General features: G+C 34.0%; 1 protein-coding gene across 1 annotated transcript, besides 1 other annotated feature; it reads left to right on the top strand.

Moving 5' to 3' along the window:
* Nucleotides 1-27,354, top strand: RGS18 (regulator of G protein signaling 18). The gene is made up of 5 exons (NM_130782.3): nt 1-295; nt 759-860; nt 1,917-1,978; nt 22,831-22,997; nt 25,836-27,354. Exons 1-5 carry the CDS (start codon nt 177-179, stop codon nt 26,091-26,093), a joined length of 708 nt encoding a protein of 235 aa, NP_570138.1. The 5' UTR covers nt 1-176; the 3' UTR covers nt 26,094-27,354.
* Nucleotides 6,644-6,844: a silencer, noted in NCBI's record as "peak603 fragment used in MPRA reporter construct". NCBI's record gives its function as "represses an SCP1 promoter by STARR-seq MPRAs in K562 erythroleukemia cells {active_cell/tissue: K562}" and the evidence as "EXISTENCE:reporter gene assay evidence [ECO:0000049][PMID:32103011]".

Below are 27,354 nucleotides of genomic sequence, written 5' to 3' on the forward strand. Positions count from 1 at the left end.
AGTTCTGCATTTCTGCAGAGACAGAAAGAAACGCAGCTCTTGACTTCTTTTTTGTAAACATTACTGTAAGAGTTGTGATAACTTTTTATTCTACTATGTATATGTATGGAATAGTATTAATAAATGAACTAGGGAAGGATGTAATAAATTAGACATCTCTTCATTTTAGAGAGAAGATGGAAACAACATTGCTTTTCTTTTCTCAAATAAATATGTGTGAATCAAAAGAAAAAACTTTTTTCAAGTTAATACATGGTTCAGGAAAAGAAGAAACAAGCAAAGAAGCCAAAATCAGGTAAAATTGTACAATTTTAAGTCAGCCTTATACTTTTAAAAGCATAATTGAGGTTGAAGATTCATTACCTCTTGTTTTTGAACTATTGGGTGGAAAATATATTGTTTGTATTGCTATAATTTGGGAAAAAAAAACACCTTTTTATTTCTTAGGTTTAAACAACAAACTGAAATCTAAAGTGTTCTCATTAAAAAAAAAGTGTAATAATGTTAGCCACATAGAGGAACTAGTGCAATCTTTATTGAAATATAATCTCAAATACTTGATTGTCGGTGAGCAAAAGGAGAAACATTTTCGTATGTTACCCTAATTCCTCCACAAATACAATATTTAAATGGGATTCATGAGTGTGTGGGTATGGGTGGGCGTGGGTTTTTACCAACTACAAAATTTTCTGGTAGTCAGCAGGAGAGATTTTAACTGTCATCTAAATTGTCCTGACATGAAGGCCTTTTTATTACAGAGCTAAGGAAAAAAGAAATAGACTAAGTCTTCTTGTGCAGAAACCTGAGTTTCATGAAGACACCCGCTCCAGTAGATCTGGGCACTTGGCCAAAGAAACAAGGTGAATAAATTTTCAGTATTTTGAGGAAGATTTTGCTGATTCTATCATTAAAGATTTAAGAAAAATGCAGTTAGGGATTTCTGATTTATTGAAAATTACACAGCAATATAAGGAAAGTTAGAAATTTCATTTGAAGAGACTAGAAATATTTCATAAAATTAAATCACTTGAATTAAATCGCTTGAATTGAATAATCACGTGAACACTTAAAGCTGCTCTTTTAAAATTATATACCTGTCAGTTTTAAATGACATGTTTTACTCCTTATAACCTGATAAAATGCTCATTAATTTAAGAGTTTTCACAATGCAATATTGTCATAGCAGAGAGATATTCATCTCTTTCTTCAGTAGTTTGAAAAAACACACGCATTATAGCAAGTAAAGCACAAATAATGTCTTTTAATACTTAGCATTTATTTAATTCAAAAAGAAAATGCAAAAACCTTATATACTAGTTTCATACAAATTCTTCCAAATTAGAGTATAATAAAAAAGATCCGAGAAAATATATTCAATTCTCCACATTACCAACATCTCTAGAATATTTTTTCTATTAAAATATCTTATATTTCTTATCCCTTTGAAACTTTATTAGTCAAACTTCCTGTATCCGTTTAAAAAAAAAATTTGCAGCCTAGTGTGGTTACAGCTTCAAGGAAATTGCAGTATAATTTTTTTTTAACTGAAAGATACTGTGAGTTTAGTTTTTTTCTACTTGCTGAATTTAAACAGATAGTTGACCTGATTTCTTTATATTTGTTATCTGTGCCCTTTAACCTAAAAAAGGATTAATTTTTAATTAAAAAATAAAACTCACATATCCATGAGAAAAAAAATAATGTTATTTCAACACATTATTCAACAGACAAATTCCAAAAGAAAATTGAACAATGTTTTCAAAGTTTCTAATGTAAATGCAATTTTCATTATATTATAATCAAAGGAGAAACTGTGAAATATAATTGAAAAGAGCAGTAAAATAGCATATGTTAGAACAGATTCATAAACAGACTTTCTGCACACTCCATTATAAAACATTTTGTTTCTTGTACAGAGTCTCCCCTGAAGAGGCAGTGAAATGGGGTGAATCATTTGACAAACTGCTTTCCCATAGAGGTTAGTGGTACTTTCACCAAATACTTTGTGTGCTTAATGGAAAATTACACAAACTATGCATGTAATTATCCGAAACAATAGGTCACAAAATTTTTGTCTGATTGTTAATTTTCAGTAATTCAATTTTCTGATCAACAGAACTAAGTAATAGAAAAGTCAAATAATGGAAATTTTTTTAAAAGTTCTCATTTTGTTTAGAATTACCTACTGTGGATGAAATATTAGTTATTTATACTGTAGCTAGTTTCAGTTTTTAAATTTTTCCGATTTTTGAATGAAATCTTCGGTTTTATCAAATTCATGATTAACGAACTATTCATGTTAGTTTCATTGTTCAAGGATTAAAAATATCAAGTAATTCTTTCGATGGACATACAGGAAACCCACATAAACACAGTTTTTTTTGTTTGTTTGTTTTTGTTTTTTGTTTTGAGACGGAGTCTCGCTTTGTCGCCCAGGCTGGAGTGCAGTGGCGCCATCTCGGCTCACTGCAAGCTCCGCCTCCGTTCAGGCCATTCTCCTGCCTCAGCCTCCCGAGTAGCTGGGACTACAGGCTCCCGCCACCACGCCCGGCTAATTTTTTTGTATTTTTAGTAGAGACAGGGTTTCACCGTGTTAGCCAGGATGGTCTCAATCTGCTGACCTGGTGATCCACCCGTCTCAGCCTCCCAAAGTGCTGGGATTACAGGCGTGAACCACTGCGCCCCGCTCCATAAACACAGTTTTAAAAAAAATTTATAAATTCTTCATTCTGTACTTCATATCAATTGTCTATTTTTAAAGCAGAATTTTGTAGAAATGTTGAGAATCGAGTATGTATTTAAGGTGGAGCTTTGTCTGTGAGATGGAGGGTGAGGACAAGCATCAAGGCCTCATTTGACTCTGGAACACTGTTATAATATAGCATGGCTTAGGAGGCAGGCTCCCTGGATTGCCACTCTTTAGGGTCAATTTACATAAGGTAGCAAGTGAGTGAACTTTGTTGTCTGTATTCATTTTATGCTTTCTTTCAGATAGAAAGACTCAACTGAGCAGGTGATGCAGCTAGGTAATCACAGATTTATTATTCTCCACCCTGAACTTGTCAGAGTCTGCAAAAAAAGCAATGCTTTATCATTACCAAACATCCACCTCAAGCCCACAGCTTTTTTTTTTTGCACTTTAAACTTGTCCAGTTTCTCACCTTAGTCTTTGAAATACAATCATTTCCCAGCTCTTCCCAGACCCTTCCAAGATGAGGTTAGCCAGACTACTCTAACTACTCCTTGTAGCGTTGCCCGTGTCTTTCACAATTTTAAGGTGTCTACTGGAAGAAAGGATTCCTGTTGCCAGGACAGTTGGGAGTGGAATATTTGTAATTCACCCTCAAATACTATGCTCCATTTAATGTAACAACAACTTTTCTTTTCTGACATATTTTTGTTTTGTTTTGTTCCCTTCCTTAATTGTCCAACTCTTTATAAGGTCTTGGTGACCTTTTCATGTTCTTCTGAATTTAGTGATATAAAAATTCTATATCTGTAGATGATACCTGAAAACTTTCCCTCTGCCAATGAAAGTAGATGGCTGCCTCTGAACTGTAATATTTATAGGTAGAGAAATCAAGGCTTAAACTTAGTTAAGGATGTAATCAATGAGAATGGAGAGTTATGGTAAGAAAGTTTGTGCTGACAAAGTTTAACTTGTATTCCTTATATTTCACTCTAAGACTAGCTACTATCACTTCCTGTTTTTGGGAAAAGTAACTTAAACAGCCTTCCTCAACTACTGTACTCACTTTTCTTCATTTCCAGTATACGACAATTCATTTTTTGCTGTTTTTTGTTTGTTTTCTTTTTTGTTTTTTTGGTTTGTTTGTTGTTTTGTTTTGTTTTGTTTTTGTGTTTTGAGACAGAGTCTTGCTCTGTAGCCTAGGCTGGAGTGCACTGGCACAATCTCAGCTCATTGCAACCTCCACCTCTTGGGTTCAAGGGATTCTCCTGCCTCAGCCTCTGGAGTAGCTGGGATTACAGACACAGGCCACCACACCTGGCTAATTTTTGTATTTTTAGCATATTGGTCTCGAACACCTGACCTCAAGTGATCCACCCATCTAGGCCTCCCAAAGTGACGGGATTACAGGCGTGAGTCATCATGCCCAGCCCCAGTATACAACAATTTCTAAACTATTGTTAAAATTCTTGCCAAATCTATGTCAAACTTGCCCCGTACTCACTTTCTTGCTCCGATTGTTTTGGTTCAGTTTCAGATATGCTCTTTATAGATTAATTACAATAACTTGTGTAAAACTTGCTTCCATAATTCATGTCCCCCAAATGTGTTTATTTTAAAATCTCCTCTTATATTCAACATTTTGGTACTGCACTGCCCTTTAGACTCCTCACCAGTCAGAGAAGGAGAAAAGAAAACAAAACAACAACAACAAAAAAAGAGGACTGGGATTAATTTCTTTATAATATAAGTATTTATTAGAAGGAAACATACATCTTTTCATCTGTGGATTCCTAAACTTAGCACATCCCCTGGAAAAGAATATAACTGAATTTGTTTCTAGAAGTTAGTCCAGAGTTCCAGTGAAATTCGAGTTTTAGTTTTCTCCTAAAACATAAATGGTTGTATAATCTTAGTTAAGCTTCCTAATCACTCTGACTTTCAGCTTCCTCGACTGTAAATGAAGATAATGTTTTTAGCTCCAACAGAAATAGATTTCTGTCAGGATTAAATGAGATGATGAATAAGAAACCAATAAATCTTGGACACTACAGAAATGTCAATGATTGCTGCTATTATAAAAAATAATATTTACTAACCAGCTTAATAATCTTTTTTTCTGTTTCCAGTCTAGTTACAACTGGATGATGATCAATTAGAGGGTGAAAATTTCAATTGACAATAACATATAGACAGGATTTCTTTCACTTAATGAATTAGTATATAATAATTTCATCATACTTTCATTACTCATTCAAAGCATAGAAAGATTTAGCAGGATGATTAGTCCTACAGAAAATCCTCACCTAGCATTCTGTAATCTTTCTTCTTTAAAAGTGGTAAAAAGCAAAAGGACAAAATCGAATTTGCTACTCTCTCTTTTCTCTACTGGTAATATTGAAGAACAGTAAACTATCTGCAATTTAAATCAAGAAGAGACACATTTAAAGAAATCAGCACTGACCCACTGGATATTATCACTTGTCATGATTACAATGCTAAATATATTATATTGAATTCACAGAATTTATATTACCAGTATTATTTTACTCAATCTCCCCTAATCCAATTATTTTTATTACAATGCTTATAATAATATTAAATTGTCAAACTTAAAATAATCACCTAAAACAAGCCTTTTGTTTGCAGTGGTTAAATTCAGTTTATTTCTATTTATTTGACTCTAGTAGAAAAGTGTGTGTGTGAATATATATATATATTTTTTTTTTTTCTTTTTTTTAAAGAGAAAGATCCTACACACACACACACTTCAAGAAAGACATTGCTCTATCAAATTTTATCAAATTTCCTTTTATAAAATTTTATAAAATGCATACTTTTCTCAAATTCTGTATGTTATGTCATTAAAAGGAAACAAAATTTACTCAGTTTATTCAAATGAGAAATTAAGTGATAAATCAAACCAGATACAATGGAAATTTGGGTATTCAATTTGACAAAAACAGTTAATATTAGAACCATCATAAACTGATTATTAGCAGTTTTAGGAATGAAACCACAGGATGGATGGTTTTTACCCTAGATTTTAGGGGATTAATCAAAATTCACTAGCCGAACAAGGACAGAAGGAGACCATCCAAGCAAAGAATCAGTATAGGAATGGGGCGTTAAACAATATAATTTAGTTAGGGAATTAAAACCAAAACAATTCTTTATTGAAAAATACAATTTGAAAAGGGATGGTGGCTTAGGGTGACAGACAATATATCCATGAGACCAAAACAGAAAGGTCACTGATTTTTGCTCTATTCCACAGAAATCAAATGATTCAGGGAGGTGTTCTGATAATTCTATTTTATTCTAATTTTAGTCACACAGTTTAACTTTTTTAAAATTAAAAAAAAAATGAGTAAATATAAACTTCAGTTCAAAATTATGCATCAGTGTTGTTTCAGTAATTGCAACAAATGTCCCATACCAACATAAGATATTAATAACAGGGAAATTGAATCGGGGGCATATTACCTTCTTCTAAATCTGTACTACCTTCTGTACTACCTTCTTGTTGTGGGAAGTCAGGGACCCCGAAAGAAGGGACCAGCTGAAGCTATGGCAGAAGAATATAAATTGTGAAGATTTCATGGACATTTATCACTTCCCCAATCAATACTCTTATAATTTCCTATGCTTGACTTTACTTTAATCTCTTAACCCAATTGTCTTCATAAACTGAGGATGTATGTTGCCTCAGGACCCTGTGATGATTGCGTTAACTGTGTAAATTGTTCGTAAAGCATGTGTGTTTGAACGATATGAAATCTGGGCACCCTGAAAAAGAACAGGATAACAGCAATGTTCAGGGAACAAGGGAGATAACCATTAGGTCTGACTGCCTGGGACCCGGGCAGGACAGTCATATTTCTCTTATTGCCGAAAATGGGTAAGAGAAATATCACTGAATTATTTCCCCAGTAAGGAATATTAATAATTAACAGCCCTGGGGAAAGAATGGATTCCCCGGGGAGGCCTCTAAAATGGCCGCTCTGGGAGTGTCTGCTTTATGCCGTTGTAGGTAGGGATGAAACATGCCCTGGTCTCCTGCAGCACCCCCAGGCTTGCTAGGATTAGGAAATTCCAGCCTGGTGAATTCTAGACAGACTGGTACTCTGCTCTTGAACCCTGTTTCCTGTTAAGATGTTTATCGACGACAATGCTTGCACAGTGGGACTTGAAACTTCATCAGAAATTGTAGTTTTGCCCTGGCCTTGTGACCTTGTCCTGCCCATTTGCCTTGTGATATTTTATTGCCTTTGAAGCATGTGATCTCTGTGACCCACACTGTGTTCGTACACTCCCTCCCCTTTGAAAATTGCTAATAAAAACTTGCTGGTTTTGTGGCTCAGGGGGCATCACGGAACCTGCCGATGTGATGTCTCCCCTGGACACCCAGCTTTAAAATTTCTCTCTTTTGTGCTCTTTCCCTTTATTTCTCAGACTGGCCGACACTTAGGGAAAATAGAAAAGAACCTATGTTGAAATATTGGGGTCTGGTTCCCCTGATACCTTCTGCAAAATATTTCTGTAAATCTAAATCTATTGAAGAATAAAATACTTTAGAAAATGATCTCAGTAATGTTACATAGTAAATTTTAACACAATGAAGTCCATCAATAATTTAAATTCTGTTTCTTATTTCGTTCAATGGAGTTATTAGTCTATTTTTTCTGCTATTTCTATTTATTGTCAAATTTGTCTGAAGTTTCAAAATGAATAATAAAAATTTGTAGTTTAATACTACATGTATATAAACCAGTAATTTCTAAGGGCTATTTAAATTTAAAAAGTAGTAATAAATCAAAAATGAAATATCAAACTATATCTGTCATTCATAATCATAAATTTTTAATTTAGTTTTATCAGTCTTCTCACTGGCTTTATAAAAGTTAATTTTATCAGTTTGAACTTATAAAATCAGTTGATGCCAATAAAATATAGAGATATATTATACACACATATGTGTTTTTATTTGTATACATATATGTGTATGGCTCTGTGTAGGCACGTTTGAAAGGAAAATGATACTGCTGCATAACACATAACTTCTAAAATAACTTGCTAAACAGTTTTTTAAAATATTATATAGAACTTGCAGTATATCATTAGAAGATCACTATAAGAGATTAAATAGATGTATGCAATAATTCAACAGGCAAAAGAAAAGGTAATTCTTGAGATAAAGGCAAGGAAACAGAGTACTAAGAGATTTTGACATGATCTGGAAAAGCAGTAAGTTTACTCTGAGGCAAAGAATAATAAACACATTATATAATTAAGTTGGGAACAAACTTTGGAAGCCTTTGTGTGTTAAAAAGATAACTCTGATGGTTAGAAAGGTAAAATTCCATGCATGTAATATAGACTACCTACAAAGTTGTTATATAAAAGCTAAATTCAAAGTAAGGACCCGCTTAGAAAAAAAAAATGGATAAACTTAGTGACTTAATCAATGTGTATGTATGTTATTGAGTGAGAAGATGAAGGAATAGGAAACAAAAAAGAAGGATGAGCCAAAGATTTCTAGATTTCATTTTTATTATAATAGGAAGATAATGATATCTGTAATAGATGCGAAATAGAGGAGGATGAACAAGACTTGTAAAAAGAGAACAGAGTAGAGTTTGAACATTTTTTGTCCATGGTAAACCTTATCAAAAGTTTTGCAGGGTTTTGTAAGTGCACACCTAAAATATGGAAGGCTGACTTATAGAAAGAGATTTTCTAACCAGCTCACATTGTTGATAATTGCTTATCTGAATGAAAATGTTATATCTCATGAGGGGAATTTCTATCAATTAGACAATCTTTCCACTACTACGTAACTGTTCCTTTTCCGTGTGTACCCTTTTATCCAGTCATTGCTAAAAACTACAATAGTCTTAACCTTTGTATTAATACCTATTTACTTGAACTTTTTACACTCTGAATTGTGGTTCTAAGTAACTTCTGAAAACAATTTGTAACATGTAGGATGGAAGTAGAATATGTAAGTCATTGCACCTCCTGGATTTAAAAATAGAAACTGACTATACTTTGGAAAATACTTATTACTAAGTTTGAGTAAAGACTACAAGGAAATGCATACTTCACTTTTGGGGGAGGAAATGAGTACTTTTTCTTATACTTTTCACCTTGTGGCTTTTCAAGTTACAGTTCCTAATTTTTGGTTACCAATTTTCTGCAAGATAAAGAATTTCAGCGCTCTAAAAATTTAAATTTCCAACTCAAGCTAACCCATAACAAGCACAAGCACTCAACTTTTTTTTTTTTATATTGAATCTCACCCTGTCACCCAGGCTAGAGTGCAATGACGCAATCTCAGCTCACTGCAACCTCCACCTCCTGGGTTCAAGCGATTCTCCTGCCTCAGCCTCCCAAGTAGCTGGGATTTCAGAAGCGCACCACCACACCCAGCTGATTTTTTGTATCTTTAGTAGAGACAGGGTTTCACCATGTTGGCCAGGCTGGTCTTGAACTGCTGACCTAGTGATCCACCTGCCTCGAACTCCCAAAGTGCTGGGATTACAGGCATGAGCCACCATGCCTGTCCAACAAGCACTCAATTTCTTAATTTATCTAAAGATTAAAAATAAATAAAACCCAGTCCTAATTATAACTCATCACATAAATCATTTATTATGGCAAAAGAAACCACATTCTATGGCAAATCAGAGCTACAAAGCCAAATGTTACAGAAGAAACAATGCAACTTATTACTTCGGATATTATATGGTACTTGGGTTTCCAACTTCAGATTTTCTTGACTTTTTGTTTCATTTGGTTTCTTGGCATCAGAAAAATACTCCAACAGATGCCAGAGTTTCAATTTAGAAACATGCAATTACATGCATTTCATATTTGTATGACACATTGAGCCAGCTTCTTCCAGTGTGAATTCTAATCCCAGGTTCTATCAAGCACTTTTGGCAGCTGCATTCACCACTGCTGCCTTCTAAAGGACTGTTTAGTAAGTTACTGCCTCTGTATGAGAAATGGTTCCATTGTGAACTGACTTAATGCAGCTGCCCAAAGTGAGTAAGAGAAACAGGAAGTAACTAATGTGCTGGGATAATCTTGTAGAGCATTGCACATTACTTTAAAAAAGTTATTTACTTAAAATTTTAATTAATAAACTTCTTTCTCATTCATCCTTTATTCATTTCTTGAATTAGTATTTTTGCTTTACTATTATATTCATATTATGCCAACAAAATCCATTCACTTTAGTTAATGCATCATGAGCACTCAGAACATACATAGCACTTTTCTTGATATTAGTACGCTGACTTCACTTTGAATGTCTGTATCAAGCACAAGACTAACCATAGTAACAAAGGGCTTTTGCATAATATTTCAGAGCGCAGCAGATGGCACAGAGTCGACACTCATGCTTGTGAATTAGTGAAGGACTCTATTTGAAATAATGTTTATGTTATTTTCTGGAAGACTTCTATTTGAATTTTATGCAAGTTGATTTTCCTCTGCTACTTTGAACAGAATAAGTCACTCTTTTAATTGTGCTTCCTCAGTCCTTGGTTCATACATGCCTGTCCTGCCCATTAATCTCCATATTCCTCAACAGTAAGGACTTTCTTTTCTTTACGGCAGTTTAGTTGTAAAGGTCCTGTAATTTTAAATAAGATGAACCTGGGTTCAAGCACTTACACTATCTTTTACTGTCTGTAAGATTTAATGCAAGTTAACTCTTTGAACGTCAACTTCTTCATCTATAAACATGAGTATAACAAGACTTACTCCGTAGGGCTGATGTGAAAATTAAATGGAATTGTGCCAATAAAAGGCATACAGCAATGTGCTAAGACCTTAACGAACACTCAAAACTCCTAACCTGTAAATACTGCTTAAATACATAACACAGTTCTCAGGTTCAGACTAAGTTATTTTTAAAATCAGTAATTATAGGTTAAAAAGTTATTTTAATAAATAACAATTTCAGCTATCTGGCTTCTGGGCATTTTCTTTTAGCTGACAGTACAAAAAATTTATTATAATTCTGATTGGTTATAGAAGTAATGGTCATATTCTTCTGAAATCATGAAAATTATTTAATAACTCACTTTAGGAATAATTTGATATTTAAAAACTGATCAATCCACGCTTATGCATAACATGTGGCTAGAGTGCAGTAGATTAAAATCGAAAACGTTTATGCTTTCACTGGGTCAGTGCTACTTTATTTATAAGCCAAATAAAACATACTTTCTTTCCTCTTTGGAAATATGACCTTGAAACAGGTTGTTCTTTCCTTGTAATGTAACTGGCATTTTATTTTGCCAACTTTGCTTTAATTTCTATTTAAATAGTAACTGAGGAACAAGGAAGGACAAGATAAAATGCCTCTTTTTGTGAAATGGGGAAAGGCAGGACCTATATCATAGACAAACAGATCAATAACACCCAATGGTATGCTTTTTAATATCAGCAGAAGGCACATTTCCATATGACTACTTTTTGTTTTCTTTTTAATTAGGATTACCTGAAAATCTTCTCACAATTATTTTGTTGTCCTGCTTCCAGTTTTTTCTTAATATCTAGCCAAGAAATTCTCTTCAGAAATCCACTTTATAGCAACTATTAAGCAAAGCATACTAAGATACTGACCCTGCAATAAGAAATAAGACATTTTAGAATTCTATTAAAAAATTAGAAAGAATCTATCAGCTCTGAAGATAGTTATCAGAGATAAATTAAGGACTGCTTTTTAGAGTTAAGTCTAGTAAAAAAATGGATATTAACTTAGAAAAAGGACAAATACTTTAGCAATTTGAAAGATTAAGTAAGTATAGGTGGTAAATAGCTGGTTTCCATTATCTTAAATATTTATTAAGGGGAAAGTTCTCAAGAATAATTTGTTTTAAGTAGTTCTGGGCAGAGGCTACGGCTAACTGCCGAAAGTTTAGTTCAGGCCAGTTGGTGCATAGATTATTGTTTTTTTGTGGTGGTTTTCTTTTACAGACCTAAACATTGCCCCACATTTCAAATTATATTTCAATTACAATGTAGGGTTTGAAAGGCATGTGATACGGTTTGGTTGTGTGACCTATCCAAATGTCATGCTGAAATGTGACCTCTGAAGCTGAAAGTGAGCCTAGTGGGAGACATTTGGGTCACGGAGTGAATCCCTCATGAATGGCTTTGTACTGTCTTCGCAGTAATAAGCGAGTTATCATTCTTTTAGTTAACATGCAAGCTGAATGTTTACAAAAGCCAGAGACCTGCCTTTTTTCTCACTGCCTCTTATCTTGTGATACACTGGCTTCCCCTTTGCCTTCCTCCGTGAGTAAAACTTCCTGAGGCCTCATCAGAAGCAGAGCTGATGAGCCATGAGCTAAATAAATCTATGTTCTTTATAAATTACTCAGGCTCAGGTATTCCTTTATAGCAATGCAAAATGAACTAACATAGCATGTCAGCATGTTTTGTCTTAGTCTCCTTATTTTATTCCAAGATCATTACAGAAGACAGAGGGGGCAAAATTAGAAAAAAAAAAAAGACAAGTAAAACCATAGACTAAGTAATAAAACCATCCCTCCAGTTACATAATGGAAAAGAAATAAATTATCAAGCTGCTGTCAATCAGCAGCCAAACAATACTTATTCAGCTTATTTCCTAAAGTCATCATAAGGCTCCAGGTTTACTTGAAGTCTTGAGAGGATATTGCAATTTAGCTTTCAAAAATTAAGGGAATATAGTCTTGGACAATTCATGACACAAACTGCTTTTATACAAGTCCAAGTTCTCAAATGCAGGTGGTGAAAGGCATTGTGGGAAAGAAAATCAAATAGGAACGTTCTAAGGAACAATAATCCCTATGGGTGCTTATGTGCTTAATATGCCACAGTACAACCAGCACATCTGATGCCCTGTTGTTCACTTTGGCAATTATTTTGTAGCTAGACCATTAGCTTTACTCTGAAAACCTATATATTTGTAGGTATTTGGAGGAAATGTACAATGTATCAAAATGCCTCAAAGAACCATTGTTCATTTATATTTCCCTTTTACAGTCTGAGAAAAGCATATGCTCAGTGTGAGAAATCAATCTTGAAAAGAATACACTAACTGAGCTAGAGAAAGAAGAGCGACTTGATCACTCTTGCTTCTCAGTGGTCAGAGTTTGCCGACTCATTCAAGAATCACTTAGCAGTAAGGCCTTCATCAGACAGTTGTGTTTGACTAGAAATTATCTTACTAGCATTTCAGGACTGCAGACAAGTTCTGTAAGTTGCTTGTCAGTTTTACAATGCCTTGTCAAATTCTTTTTGAGCCCAACCTTCCCTTGTCTCTCTAGTTAATTAACTAATATGTAACTGCTAACATCCGTTGCTCATGGTAAATTTACTGAGGAAAAGAAATGGCAGGATCTCCCTTTGTCCAGGTGAAAACATCCCAATGAAGAGGCCGTGGTGCAGAAGAGACCTATGTCATCCTTTTCTTGTGGTAGTGGCTGAAATCATTCCATACTATAAAGCTTAGGAATTTCTATAGGTTGTCATATCTTTGTCTAACTACTGATTTCCTAAACAGTAAGTTCCTGGAACTCTAATACATTAAAAAGATTGCTTACAACATTAAAAAATGACACTTCATGACAAAGAGGATAAGGTCTATATAAAGGAGGAATAAATGGTGATACAAAAAGAATAATTTGAGGATTGTATTGGTTTCCTGTTGCTGCTATATCAACTTACCACAACTACGGTGATTAAAACAACACAATTTTATTATCTTAAAGTTGTGTTAGAAGTCCAGTATGGGTTTGATCAAAATAAATCAAGATGTCAGCAGGCTATTCTTTTTTTGGAGGGTTTAAGGAAGAATCACGTTTCTGCTCATTTGGATTGCTGGCAGAATTAAGCTGTTTGCAGTTATAGACCAACTACTTCCTTCCCTTGCTGGCTGCAAACTGAGGTTCATTCCCACTGCTACGGTTTGGATGTAGTTTGTTTCTCCCCTCACCCCAAATCTCAGGTTGAAATCTGATCCTCAATGTGGTGATGTTGGGAGGGGGCACCTAGGGGATTTGTTTCTATCATGGGAGAAGTTCCCCCAGGATTGGCTTGGTGCAGTTTTCAGCAATAGTGAGTTTTCACTCTTGAAAGACTGGATTAGTTCTCAGGGGAATGGATTCGTTCCCTCGAGAGTAGGTTCTTATGAAGCCAGGCTGCCCCTCGGGTTTGATCCCTCTCTGCACATGCCCACTTCTTTGGTCTTCACCATATTTTGACCCAGCACAAAACCCTCACCAGAAGCCAAGCATATGCCAGCAGGCTTCTTATACCACCGGCAGAACTGTGAGTAAAATAAACCTTTTTCTGTATAAACTACCCAGCCTCAGGTATTCCTTTATAGCAACACAAAACAGACTAAGACACCCACCTTCCAGAATACACTACATTTCCTGGGTCATGACCATCTACTTCATACTCAAAGCCAGCAGCAGAGTCAGGTCCTTCTTAGGTCACATCTCTCTGATCTACTCTTCTGCCTCTTCTACTTTTAAGGACTCGCGTGATTAGATTGGCTCTACCTGGATAATCTCCCCCATCTCAACGTCCTGAACTATATTTAGTTCCTTTTTTCCCACAGTTCCTGGAGATTAGGGCATGAACACCTTTGGAGGGTTATTTCTCTGCCTACCAAAGGAAACAATGCCTTCCTGAGAAAAATATGCATATATATATATATATATAAATATATATATATACACATATGTATAAAATCTGGGGCAATTGAACTTATCTGAATCTCAGTTTTCTCATCTAAGAAAATGAATATAAGACATATTCCATGTATCTGTTATAAAAATTAAATGAGGTAATGTATATAAGTAACACTTAACCTTCAAAACCTCTAAACATGTTATAAATGCAAAACCTCTTAGTTATTACCATACTTCTACCAATAGAAATTTATTATTCTTGTTTCATTTTATATGGAACTTTTTATATTAGTAATAGTCACTAACCATGAGGAATAGTTCTAGACAGCTGTAAACATTTAAAAAAATGTGGTAATCTAAGTTAAAATGAGTTGAACAGACAAAGCTACAACATTTATTTCAACTTTTTTCAGCCATAATGCCAGAATATTTGCACCTTCTTTATAAATAGCTGGATTTTAAAACATATACTTTGTGTAGAATCTTTGCTTCTATAATCATGAGAGATATTGTGTAATTTTCTTCACTTCCTTCTTAGTCTTAGTCTTTACTTGTTTTTTTTATGGGGCAGAGTGTCAAGTTTTGGTATTAGAATTTATCCTCGTCTCATAAAATAAGGTGGAAAGTGTTCATCTCCTCTCAATTTTCTCAAAGCAAGTATGTAAGATTAAAATACATTTTTTTCTTAAATGTTTGATGGAATTTACTAAATTTGGTCCCAGGTATTTTTGGGCGGAGAGAAATGTTTTATTATAAAATCTATTAATTGAATTAGGGCTACCAGATCTTCCACTTCTTCAAGTGTCAGTTTGGGTATAGGTTTATTGTTTTTTTAAACAATTTCCCTATGCCATATAAATTATATTTACTGGCATTAAGTCATTCATAATATTCACTTGTTTGTAATATATGTAAGATCTATACTAATATTTATGGTTTGCTTCCTAATGTGAAAGACTCTTGCTAGGGGTTTTATTTTATTAATGTTTTAACAGAACCAACTTTGGCTTTGTTAATCTCTGTAGTTTTTCTGTTACATATATTTTTCCTCTTGTTTTTATTTTTATTTTTTCTTCTACTGACTATGTATTTAATTTGCTCTTCAAGTTTCTTAAGGTGGAAACCTAGATCTTAATTTTTATACCCTTCCTGTTTTTTTTCTTTCTTTTTTTTTACTAGACCACCATTTTGTGCAATAAAATTCTCTCTAACCACTGTTTAAGCTGCATCTCACAAATTTTTGATCTGCTGTACTTTCACTATAATTCAAGTATAAATATTTTTCTAATTTGCCTTGTGATTTCTCTAACATGTAGGTTATTGTGTTTACTACATATTTATCACACACTGGTTATTGTGTGCTTATTTTCAAATATTTGTTTTTGTTTTGTTTTTATCTATGTTACTAGTGTCAATTATTAATTCAAACCCCTTGCCGGCAAAGGACATATCTGTAAGGTATCAAGCTTTTTGAAATTTATTTAGGCTCATATTATGAGTCTAACACAGAGTTTATCTGGGATAATATTCCCTGTGCATTTGAAAAGATGTGTTTGGTAGATCATTTTGTAATTTTTCAATTCAGTCGAATTAATGATGTTTAAGTTTTATATATTGTCATTGATATGGTCTACTTTTTTCTATGAATTAATGAGTAAGCAGAATTAGAATCTATACCTAAATTGTGAATTTTTCTACTTCTGTTCTATGAGTTTGCTTCATGTATTTTGAAGCTCTAAATGAAGTTCATATATGTTTAGGATTGTTATGTACTAGTAATAATTGGTCACTTAAAAATTACAAAACGGAAATACTCTTTATTTTGAAGTTACTTTTTCAAGCCATGTGAAGATTTTTTTGTTCAGATTTCTTATGCTTAACCTCTGCACTGTGTAACATTTTTATCCGTTTTCTTCATCTTCCTGATACTTTTCATTTAATGTGTCTCTTGTTGCCAATATGTAGTCTGTTTTTACTTTTTAACCCAGTCAGATAATCTCTGACTTTTAATTGGAATGTTTAGCTCATTTAAATGTTATCTCATCATTGATATATATGGGATTGGATCTAACATCTTACTATTTATTTTCTATTTGTTTCCTCATTTTGTTGTTGTTTTCTTTTCCTCCTTTCCTACCTTATTTAGATTAAGTAAATCTATCTTCTATACAACTGTCTGCTAGCATATCCATCCCTTCTGCAGTCTTTAATCTGTTGCCATGACCATCCAATATTTTTTTATTTTTAATATTTTACATTTTATTTGCTGAATTTCAACTTAATTACTTTTCATAGTTTAAATTTTGTCTTAGGTCTTTTTTAACCTTTGTGTTTTTCAAAAAATTTATATGAGCTTTTTTAAAGTTTTTGTCTGCTATTTCCAACATTTTAGATAACTTATCAGTTTTTATTGATATTTTATCAACAAACAAAATATTGATAATAAGTCATGAAAATTTCCTTATATCACTAATTTTTTTTTTGTATGTGAGCATGGAGGAAGACATAGGAGTCTAAATTATGTGGTCTTCCCTTATAGAGTATTGAATCATTTTTCTGGAAGTGAATTAAATCACTGTTGTATCCTCTTGATTTTTTTTCTGATCAGCTTGATCCTTTAAGGCTGGTATATCTCAGAATTGTCTTAGTATGAGGACAAGACCTTTCTTAGTAGTAGGACAAGACATAGTGTTTATACCAGAAACACGAACTTTCTTTGGTATCTCTTCTACGGCTGAGCCAGAAATCCAAAGTCATCCAAACCTATCAAAACTCTCCTATCTCCATTAACCTCAGTCCCATAGCATCTGTCTTCTTCTAGACTTCACAAAATTTGCCCTGCTCATGTGCAGCTTAGCCCTCAGTCAAGGCTCTGCAGGAAAACTGCATGGAGGCTTCTGGGTCCCCTTATAAAGCAGATTCACTCTGCACTGGTTACCAATTAAGCCCCCTATGTCTTGGGCTACAATTTTGATTACTTGCACAAATCCACTATGATAGAACACTGATACAACTAGTTAAGCAAAGCAACTTTAGTACTTGCAAATAGGCACCAAGGGATAATAGAAGCCTAGTATTCATAATGAGCTTCCCCCTCAACACTCAGGAAAGCTGCTAAGAGTGAATTAAATTTTGTCTATGATGTTCCAATTGCATGGCAGCCGAGGGATCCCAGAAAGCAGCCTGTCCTGGTTTTTATGTCCGAGGGAATACAGGTATCCCTGGGCTAAAGTGTCAAAGAAGATCCTATTTTGGGGTGGCAAAGGAACACAGCAAGGTTATTCTGGTCAATTTCTCTTATCTCAGGATGTTGCATTGTCAGCACATTGTACATTTATTTTTGAGAAACACAAGTGACAAAAAAGAGAGAACAAGTTAGTACAAGGTCACTCAAACTGTCCCACACCCTTCTGCATGTTTCCTTTTTTCAGTAGCCTGACCCACAAATTCCAAATACATCATAATGCCCAAACTCTTATCTCTGCCTCCTCAATTCAGCAAGACTTCTTACTATGGTTAGCCTCCATCTTCATGCGTACCAGTCTTAAAAATGCCCCCAGGTAGAAAGCCAGAGCAAACCTAGCACTCACTTCATGTGTTTTTCTTCTCATCTGTTGCCAGTTGTATTCTGCTTGGAAACTACTGCCTCAATATTTTTTCTAGTTTTATAGTTATTTGTGGTAGGAGGACAAGCCTGGTTCCCATTACTTTGTAATGACCCTCCTCTTCTTAATAGTTTAGTAGTAATATGTTCTTTTATTTAAGGTAGTGCTCTATAGATTAAATATCAAATCAAGGGCTTTGTCCACTTCTAAAATTGCTGGTCTCTGGTACCTAGACCAGTGTCTGGAACACAGCATGTGATCAATATTGTTTCAATGAATTAATGAGTTATTCAGTGGGGAGTTCAGGATGCAAACAAAAGTATTTAATAAAATAGTTGAACAAAGTAAGGAATACATTATATGTTTCAATAACTCATAGTGATATCCAACAGAGAGCAGTGTACCTCCAGAAATGTTTGTGAGCTTGTCCAAAGTCATATAGACTGGCATTTACCACAAACTCTAGCTTCACACGTTCTCAAAATTGATGCTGTCATCTTGTTAGCATGCCAGGAAGGACCCAACTCTCAGTAGAAGGCTCACATTGGCAAAACTCATGGGGTTAAATACCAAACTAATAATACAGATTCAGAAATAAAACTGTCACTGATAGCCATTTCTCTACCTTTTCATATGACCAAAGAAGCATCCAAAATGTATTAAAAATTTTGCTTGCCAAGCATGAAACTAGAATATTAATTAAATGTTTAATGTCATCAAGCTAAGAATTAACTTTTTAAATAAATTAGTATATTTTTAACTACATATTTTTGTCCATATTCACAATAGGACACAATTTTGTGGATTTTTTTTTTGCTTTTTTATGTTACCAGCTCTGATTGTCCATATCTCTTGTAAATATGATAGGTCTGATATTTCATTTAGTACACAAAATATTTCCTAGAAGTGTTTCATGTTTTTTTAATATAATTCTGTATTTTTATAATTAATTCAATTATTTGTTGATAATTTATTTTAGTATTATTAAATAATTATTGAGTTATTTCTCATGTTGGGTACTGGAAATTTGGTGACAAGTTAGACAAGGGTCTTCGTCTTATATATGTTACAGTGTAGCCTGGAAAACAAAAGTTAGCAGGCAACTGCAGTACAATATTTTAAGTTTACCCGGCACAGTAGAAGGCCATATATGAAGGACACCCAACTCGTTCTTTAGAGATTGGTGAAGTCTTTCCGGACAAGATGAAGTGTAATTTCAACCTCAATGAATATAGGCTGTATGGGTTAGATTAATAAAATTGCTTTATGGATTTAGAATAGGAAGGGAAAAGTATTCTCAACAGGAGCTAAAACTAAGAGATTCAGGAACATGGCACACGAATGGAACTATACGTGTTTCTCTGTGAGTGGAGCTTAAATCAGTGTAAAAACATAGTAGGAAGAGATGAACGCTATTGGGAAATTTTAAACGGTGAAGAATCATAATAAAATTTGTACTGCAGCAAGATATTACTGATGAGAATGTGGATAATAGTCTTGGAGGATGGAGAAAGAGACAAGGAAAACCTAAATTCAGGGTCACCAGTTAGGAGGTTTTTATAATAATTTGTGTGAGAGATAGTTCCGGTCTAAATAAAAGTAATTACAGATGGCACAAAAATAAAAAGACAGATGTAGGATATATGAAAGGGGAATTTTTTTTTAAGATTTGATTATCAGCTATGTGTGAGATAAGAGGAAAATCAAATATCCCTGAGAATAAATGCCAGGTTTCCCGTTTATATCCCTGAGTGGATAGCGTCATTAAATGGGAAATGTATGCAGGGAAGGTTTTGGGTAAAGATGATAAATGTACCATTCATATGACTAATTCAGTGGTCAATTCAATGATGTTTTTCACATGTTGGTTGGTATGAACTTGGAGCTCAGGAAAAAGGCTTGAGATAAGTTCTAAGAATCATCTGCATATTGATCGTATTTGGGTGTTGAAGTAATTTTTCAGGAAATGAGTTTAAGGGAAAGATGAAGAAGGATAAACTGAGAAGGATTTGGGGATGCAATAGTCAGAGGTGTAATAGGAAACTCTGGAGTTTAGCTGCCATTGAGGAGAATTACAGGCAATTCTCTACCGTGCCTGCTGTTGTGGAGAGATGAAATAACATATGGATGGAAAAAAAATGTTCACTAACTATAACATTAAGTCAATTTGGCAAAAATAATTTAAGTAAAGTGTTGAATGGAAACCACATTTTTGTGTGTTGGAAAGTAAATGAGATAGAGGGGATTAAGAGACTAAGTGTAGAAAACTTAATCAAAGATTTTATATCTGTAAGGAGAAAAGATATGTCAGTAGCTACAGGAATATTTGAAGTTATGATTTTAAAAATAATTTCTTGTAAGAAGATTAAAATATTTTAATGATATCAACATGTAAAGAAACTTTGTTTTTCAGAATTGTTTCTAATGCCTCATTTTGTCTACAGGTATTAACAATATGCATAAAGTACAGTTGAAGTTCAGAAAAAAGGAGTTCAGGAAAAATGTCAAGAGAGAAGATGGGCAAATAGGGAAGATAAAGGAAAGAAGAAGGAAAAGGAGAAAGCAAAGGACAGAATTTTAGCAAATAGCACATTTAATGGGGAAGAGAGGGAGTTAAACCTAAACAGACAACACACAAACAAACAATCACACAGTATGAACTAGGAGATATGCCATCCTACAATCCTATGTGGAAGAGTATTTGAAAAAGGAGGGGGTCAGTATTATCAGATGCTGCCAAGTGGGAAGTCCAGATGGGACTCATGATATTTCCTTATGCAATAACTTACATAAGGAGAGCAGAAAGAGAAATGGGCTATAACTAGAGAGTGAGAGTGAATCTAAAGAAAGATTGCTAAAACTCATTTAAATCCAACTCAAATGTGATTTATTCTGAGAAAGTTTATCTGAAAAATCCATTAGGAACATATTTCCCTTCCCTCAACATTTCTATAGTGCAACTACCATACACCCAAGCAATTTCACTCCTTGGAATTTATTCCAGATAAATAAAGACTTGTGAACATTTTATAAAACTATACACAAATGTTTATAGCAGATTTATTTGTAATAACTGAAAAAAAAAGAAATAACCCATGTTTCCTTCAATGGCAGAATGGTTAAACAAATGATAGTATATTCATATCATGGAATATAATACAGCAACAAAGAGAAACAAACCATTGATACATTCATCAACCTGAATAAATCTCCAGAGAATCAGGCTGTGTGGAAAATAGAAACATCTAAAACAACATATACTACATGATTTAATTTATATAACATTCTTGAATTGACAAAATTATAGCAATGGAGACCAGATTAGTGGTTCCCTGGAGTTAAAAAAAATTACATGTGGGGAGATGTAAATGTGGCTGTAAAAGGGCAACATGTGTTACACTTGTAACTTTCTGTATCTTGATTATATTAATTAATGTCACTATCCTAGCTGTGATATTTCACTGTAGTTTTCCAAGTTGTTACACTGGCGAAAACTGGATAAAGAGTACACGGGGTCTCTCCTAGGAACTTCCTACGAGTTCATGTAAATCTATAATTTTCTCAAAATAAAAAAGTTTAACTTTTACAAGGCTTAAAAATAAGTAGAGTTAAAAAAGATAGTTGAAAGAGCGTTTTTGAAGTCACATTGTCTAGTTTTGAAGTCACATTGTCTTAAGGTTGAATCCAAAGTCTGCCACTTTTTTAGTTATGTAAATGTCATCTTAGTGAGCCTTAAATAAAAATTATCAAGATCACCATCATCATCACAACCACCATTACTAAAACCCTTATGGAGTTTTTAATATGTCCCAGTTACTGTTCCAAACACTTGGTGTATTTTAACACATTTAATTCTCTCAACAGCCCTACCAGGTAGGGATCATTATTATCTTAATTTTAAATATTGAAAAACTAAGACACAGAAAGAAAAGGTAATATGCTCAGGGCCACATAGTAACTAAATGAACACTAATTTGAGCCCAGACAGTCTTCCACAAGACTTAATACCTGCCCCTAACATTTATGGGGCAAGACAAAAAGTGAAAAAGAGGTCCCATGCTGTATGTCTAAATGCTTAGGAGCTATAGAAACTAATAACTTTAAAATATATATGCTAGCCTTCTGCTTTGACAAATATACTTTGTAAGCCACTTGGAAGATTATGTTTGAATTTAAAATTTTCAGACACTTAACGTTTCCACTCTATAAACATGACCTACCACCTTTTTCTCTTCCCCCATGGTTTGGTTTCACACTGTGAGCAGCTCTTTGCACATTTGAGTACACACTCCAGCCTGCAAATTGAAGCCTTGTTCATACTCGGGCCTATGGGTATAAATACCAGTGAGTCAGTGTGTTTTTGGTAGATGGACTTGGAGAAAAGGCTGTGTAAATGCTGGAAGCATAGAGCTTTTAGTAAGGGAACCTCAAGATCCTGAATACCAAAGGCATGGTGTAGAAGTAGGATCCGTTCCAACTGTAATGGCTTCTTGACTCTGTGGAATCACCCCTCACACTCTGCGAGGGGAACGGATAAAAGAGACATAAAGTGAGGTCCACCGTAGGGGGTCCCTCTTACTCTTAGGCCTAAAGTCAAACTTAAGCCTGAGTGAGATACTGGCCTTATTTCAGTGGGAATAATACTTTCCTTTTATAGTTGTGAAAACGACATGAGGGTCTCTCAGGTATATTGTGCAAGATGTGTGCTGCGGTGCTGCATTAGAGGGAAGATGTAGGTTTTCTGTTAATATTTGCAATTATGTTTTATTATCAATCAGTAAATGTTTCCAACATTAATACCATTTTATAGTTATATTATTTATTTTCTTGATAGATGGACTAGAGGCTTTTACCAGATTTCTTAAAACTGAATTCAGTGAAGAAAATATTGAATTTTGGATAGCCTGTGAAGATTTCAAGAAAAGCAAGGGACCTCAACAAATTCACCTTAAAGCAAAAGCAATATATGAGAAATTTATACAGACTGATGCCCCAAAAGAGGTACAGTAAAGATAACTGTAAAAATGCATAATTGCTTTCAAAATTTTTTAATAATTTTATTTTTAAATTGTGAATTATATTTTTCCAACTTATTTTTATTAATTTCATTTATAATTGACATGTAATAATTACACATGTTAATGACATACAGTGTGATGTTTTAATATATGTATGCATTGTATAATGATAAAATCAGAGTTAGCATATTCATCAAATTAAACATTTATCATTTCTTTGTGGTGATAATATTCAATATGTTCTTTTCTAGCAATCTTGAAATATACCATGTATTATTATTCACTATAATCACCTATTAGGTAATATAACACCAGAACTTATTCTTCCTATCTATCTCTGTACCTGTTGATCCATCCTTTCTCCATCCTCCCATCCTTCCTACCTTACCTAGCCCTTGGTAACCACTATTCTGCTCTCTACTTCTATGTGAGCAACTTTATTAGATTCCACATACAAGTCAGATCATGTAGTATTTATTTTTGTGTGCCTGGCTTATTTCACTTAACATAATGTCCTCCAGGTTCATTCACATTGCCACAGATGACTGAGTTTCTTTGTTTTTTAATAACTCAATAGTGTTCCATATGTACCACATTTTCTTTATACATTCATCCTTTGATGGACATTTAGGATGAGTCCATCTCTTGGATACTGTGAATAATGCTGCAATAAACATGGGAGTGTAGATATCTCTTTAACATGCTGATTTCAATTCCTTTAGATATATACCTAGACGTAGAATGGCTGGATCGTATGATAGTTTTATTTTTAATTTTTGAGGAACCCTTATACTATTTTCTATAATGGCTGCACTACCTTACATGCCCACCAACAATGCATGAGTTTCCCTTTCTCCACATCCTCACCAACATTTGTTATTTTTTGTCTTTTTCATTAAAAGCCATTCTAACCGAAGTGAGTTGGTATCTCATTATGGTTTCTACGTGCATATCCCTGATGGGTAATGATGTTGAACATTTTGTCCAAAATGGCACTTTATGTCTTTTTTTGAGAAATGTCTATTCAGAGCTAAATTTTTTAGATAATCTGTCTTTATCAAATTTGTACCCTCATACATTCTACCAGAATGTTCATGATGTTGCTGGAGGGAAGATAATTATTTATGAATATTTATCCATACAAATGGAAGACATTGTAAGATACTATCACAGAAGGAAAAGTACAATTAGAGTCACTTTTCAGAGCTATTTTCATTCTAGACTAAGAGTGAATATGATAAATTGCAACATTTAGATTCATTCACTTATTCATATTAATCACTTTCGCACAAGCAACCTCTCATAGAAACTAAAGATTTTTATAAGTGATGAAGTCAAGGGACATCAAGAAGTTTGCATCATATACCAATTTAATTTTGGCTCATCTATTTATACGGAGTTTTGTTTGCTTTAGGGATACTTTAAAGACAGGTTAAAAGAAAAATCTTACAATAGAGAGATGAGGTAAATCTAACTAGGCAAGTTTTCAAGTGGAAAACAATTGAGATTTTCTTTTACTCCATACTCAATGTGAAGTAATTGTGTGATACAATTGCTAAAATGGGTATAAGACTAGCAAATATGACTTGACTGCCCTAAAATATTAATTAAGTAGAGCTTCAAAGTTTCTAATGTGTGTTTTATAAATAGTGCTTCTCCCAAAACCAACGTTTTACATAGTTTTTTTTATAAAAAGGCAGCTAGTTGTATTGTGTTATGGACAAGGGGAAAGAAAGCCCCTACCTGAAAACCCAACCACCATCAGAACCAGATATATATGCAGTGCTATGATACAAGGCATTAAAGAATTTTATATCTTTAAAAGACATTCATACTACAGCATATGTTTGCTTGGAGGAAATCATCATAACATAATGAAATGAGCACTGGAATAAAGAGAAGCCCCACATTAAAATCTCAAATATGCCCCAGCTCATTTTTTCCCATGACTCAAATAATTTAACCTCTGTGAGGTTTAGTTACCTATTTTGAAAATGAGTTATGCTTTAATTATTTCTATGATCTTAGCAGTTCAATATTGCATTATTCTAAATTCATAGAGAGTAAGAAGGACCAGGAATTCCAGGAGAGAAGAAACAGATGAAATGCTAGTCAAGAATAGAGGAAAAAACCCAAGCATCTATATTAGGCCATTCTTGCACTGCAACAGACACAACAGCACTATTCACAATAACCAAAATGTGGAAACAACCCAATTGTTTACTAACAAATGAATGGATAAATGAAACGTGGTGTACCTATAGAATGGAATATTCAGCCACAGAAAGAATAATGTTTTTGATACATGCTAAAAAAACAGAAATATCTGAGCCTAGGTAATTTATAAGAAAATAACTTCAATTGGTTCATGGTTCTGCAGGCTATACAGGAAGCCTAATAGCATCTGCTTTTGAGAAGAACTCAGGAAGCTTCCAATCATGGCAAAAGGCAGAGGGGGAGCAGTTATCTCACATTTCAGAAGCAGGCTCAAAAGAGAGAGACAGAGTGAGGTGTCACACACTTTTAAACAGCCAGATCTTGCCAGAAGCCACTCACTATCGCAAGGACAGCACTAAGGAGATGGTGCTAAACCATTCATGGGAAATCCACCCCCATGATCCAATAACTGCCCACCAGGCTCCACCTCCAATGCTGGGGATTACAATTAAACATGAGGTTTGGGCAGGCTACACACATCCAAACTATATCTGCTTCTAAGCCCAAGATGCCCACTCCAACATTGCATCAGTCCTGTGCTGTTTCTCAAAGTTGTTTATATAAGCATATTAACTATAATCACACTTTTTTTCTGTTTATCCAGGTTAACCTTGATTTTCACACAAAAGAAGTCATTACAAACAGCATCACTCAACCTACCCTCCACAGTTTTGATGCTGCACAAAGCAGAGTGTATCAGCTCATGGAACAAGACAGTTATACACGTTTTCTGAAATCTGACATCTATTTAGACTTGATGGAAGGAAGACCTCAGAGACCAACAAATCTTAGGAGACGATCACGCTCATTTACCTGCAATGAATTCCAAGATGTACAATCAGATGTTGCCATTTGGTTATAAAGAAAATTGATTTTGCTCATTTTTATGACAAACTTATACATCTGCTTCTAACATATCGCATGTTTATGTTAAGATTTGGTCCCATCCTTTAAACTGAAATATGTCATGTGAAATTATTTTAAAAATGTAAAAACAAAACTTTCTGCTAACAAAATACATACAGTATCTGCCAGTATATTCTGTAAAACCTTCTATTTGATGTCATTCCATTTATAATCAGAAAAAAAACTTATTTCTTAATCAAAAGGCAGTACAAAAAAAGTAATAATGTTTTATAAGATTGTAGAGTTAAGTAAAAGTTAAGCTTTTGCAAAGTTGTCAAAAGTTCAAACAAAAGTCTAGTTGGGATTTTTTACCAAAGCAGCATAATATGTGTTATATAAACATAATAATACTCAGATATCCAAATGTTCAGATAGCATTTTTCATAATGAATGTTCTCTTTTTTTTGGTAATAGTGTAGAAGTGATCTGGTTCTTACAATGGGAGATGAAGAACATTTATTATTGGGTTACTACTAACCCTGTCCCAAGAATAGTAATATCACCTCTAGTTATAAGCCAGCAACAGGAACTTTTGTGAAGACACATTCATCTCTACAGAACTTCAGATTAAATATAATCTAGATTAATGACTGAGAATAAGATCCACATTTGAACTCATTCCTAAGTGAACATGGACGTACCCAGTTATACAAAGTACTTCTGTTGGTCACAGAAACATGACCAGATTTTGCATATCTCCAGGTAGGGAACTAAGTAGACTACCTTATCACCGGCTAAGAAAACTTGCTACTAAACTATTAGGCCATCAATGGCTTGAATAAAAACCAGAGAAGGTTTTTCCCAGGACGTCTCATGTTTGGCCCTTTAGAATTGGGGTAGAAATCAGAAATGAGATGAGGGGAAGAAGCAAGGAGTCTAAGGCCCTAGCGATTTGGGCATCTGCCACATTGGTTCATATTCAGAAAGTGTTATCTCATTGATTATATTCTTGTTAAGCAAATCTCCTTAAGTAATTATTATTCAAATAAGATTATACTCATACATCTATATGTCACTGTTTTAAAGAGATATTTAATTTTTAATGTGTGTTACATGGTCTGTAAATATTTGTATTTAAAAATGCCATGCATTAGGCTTTGGAAATTTAATGTTAGTTGAAATGTAAAATGTGAAAACTTTAGATCATTTGTAGTAATAAATATTTTTAACTTCATTCATACAGTTAAGTTTATCTGACAATAAAAGCTCTGACTGAA

The sequence above is a fragment of the Homo sapiens genome, chromosome 1 (genome assembly GCF_000001405.40).
Source record: "Homo sapiens chromosome 1, GRCh38.p14 Primary Assembly".
Classification (NCBI taxonomy): Eukaryota; Metazoa; Chordata; class Mammalia; order Primates; family Hominidae; genus Homo; species Homo sapiens.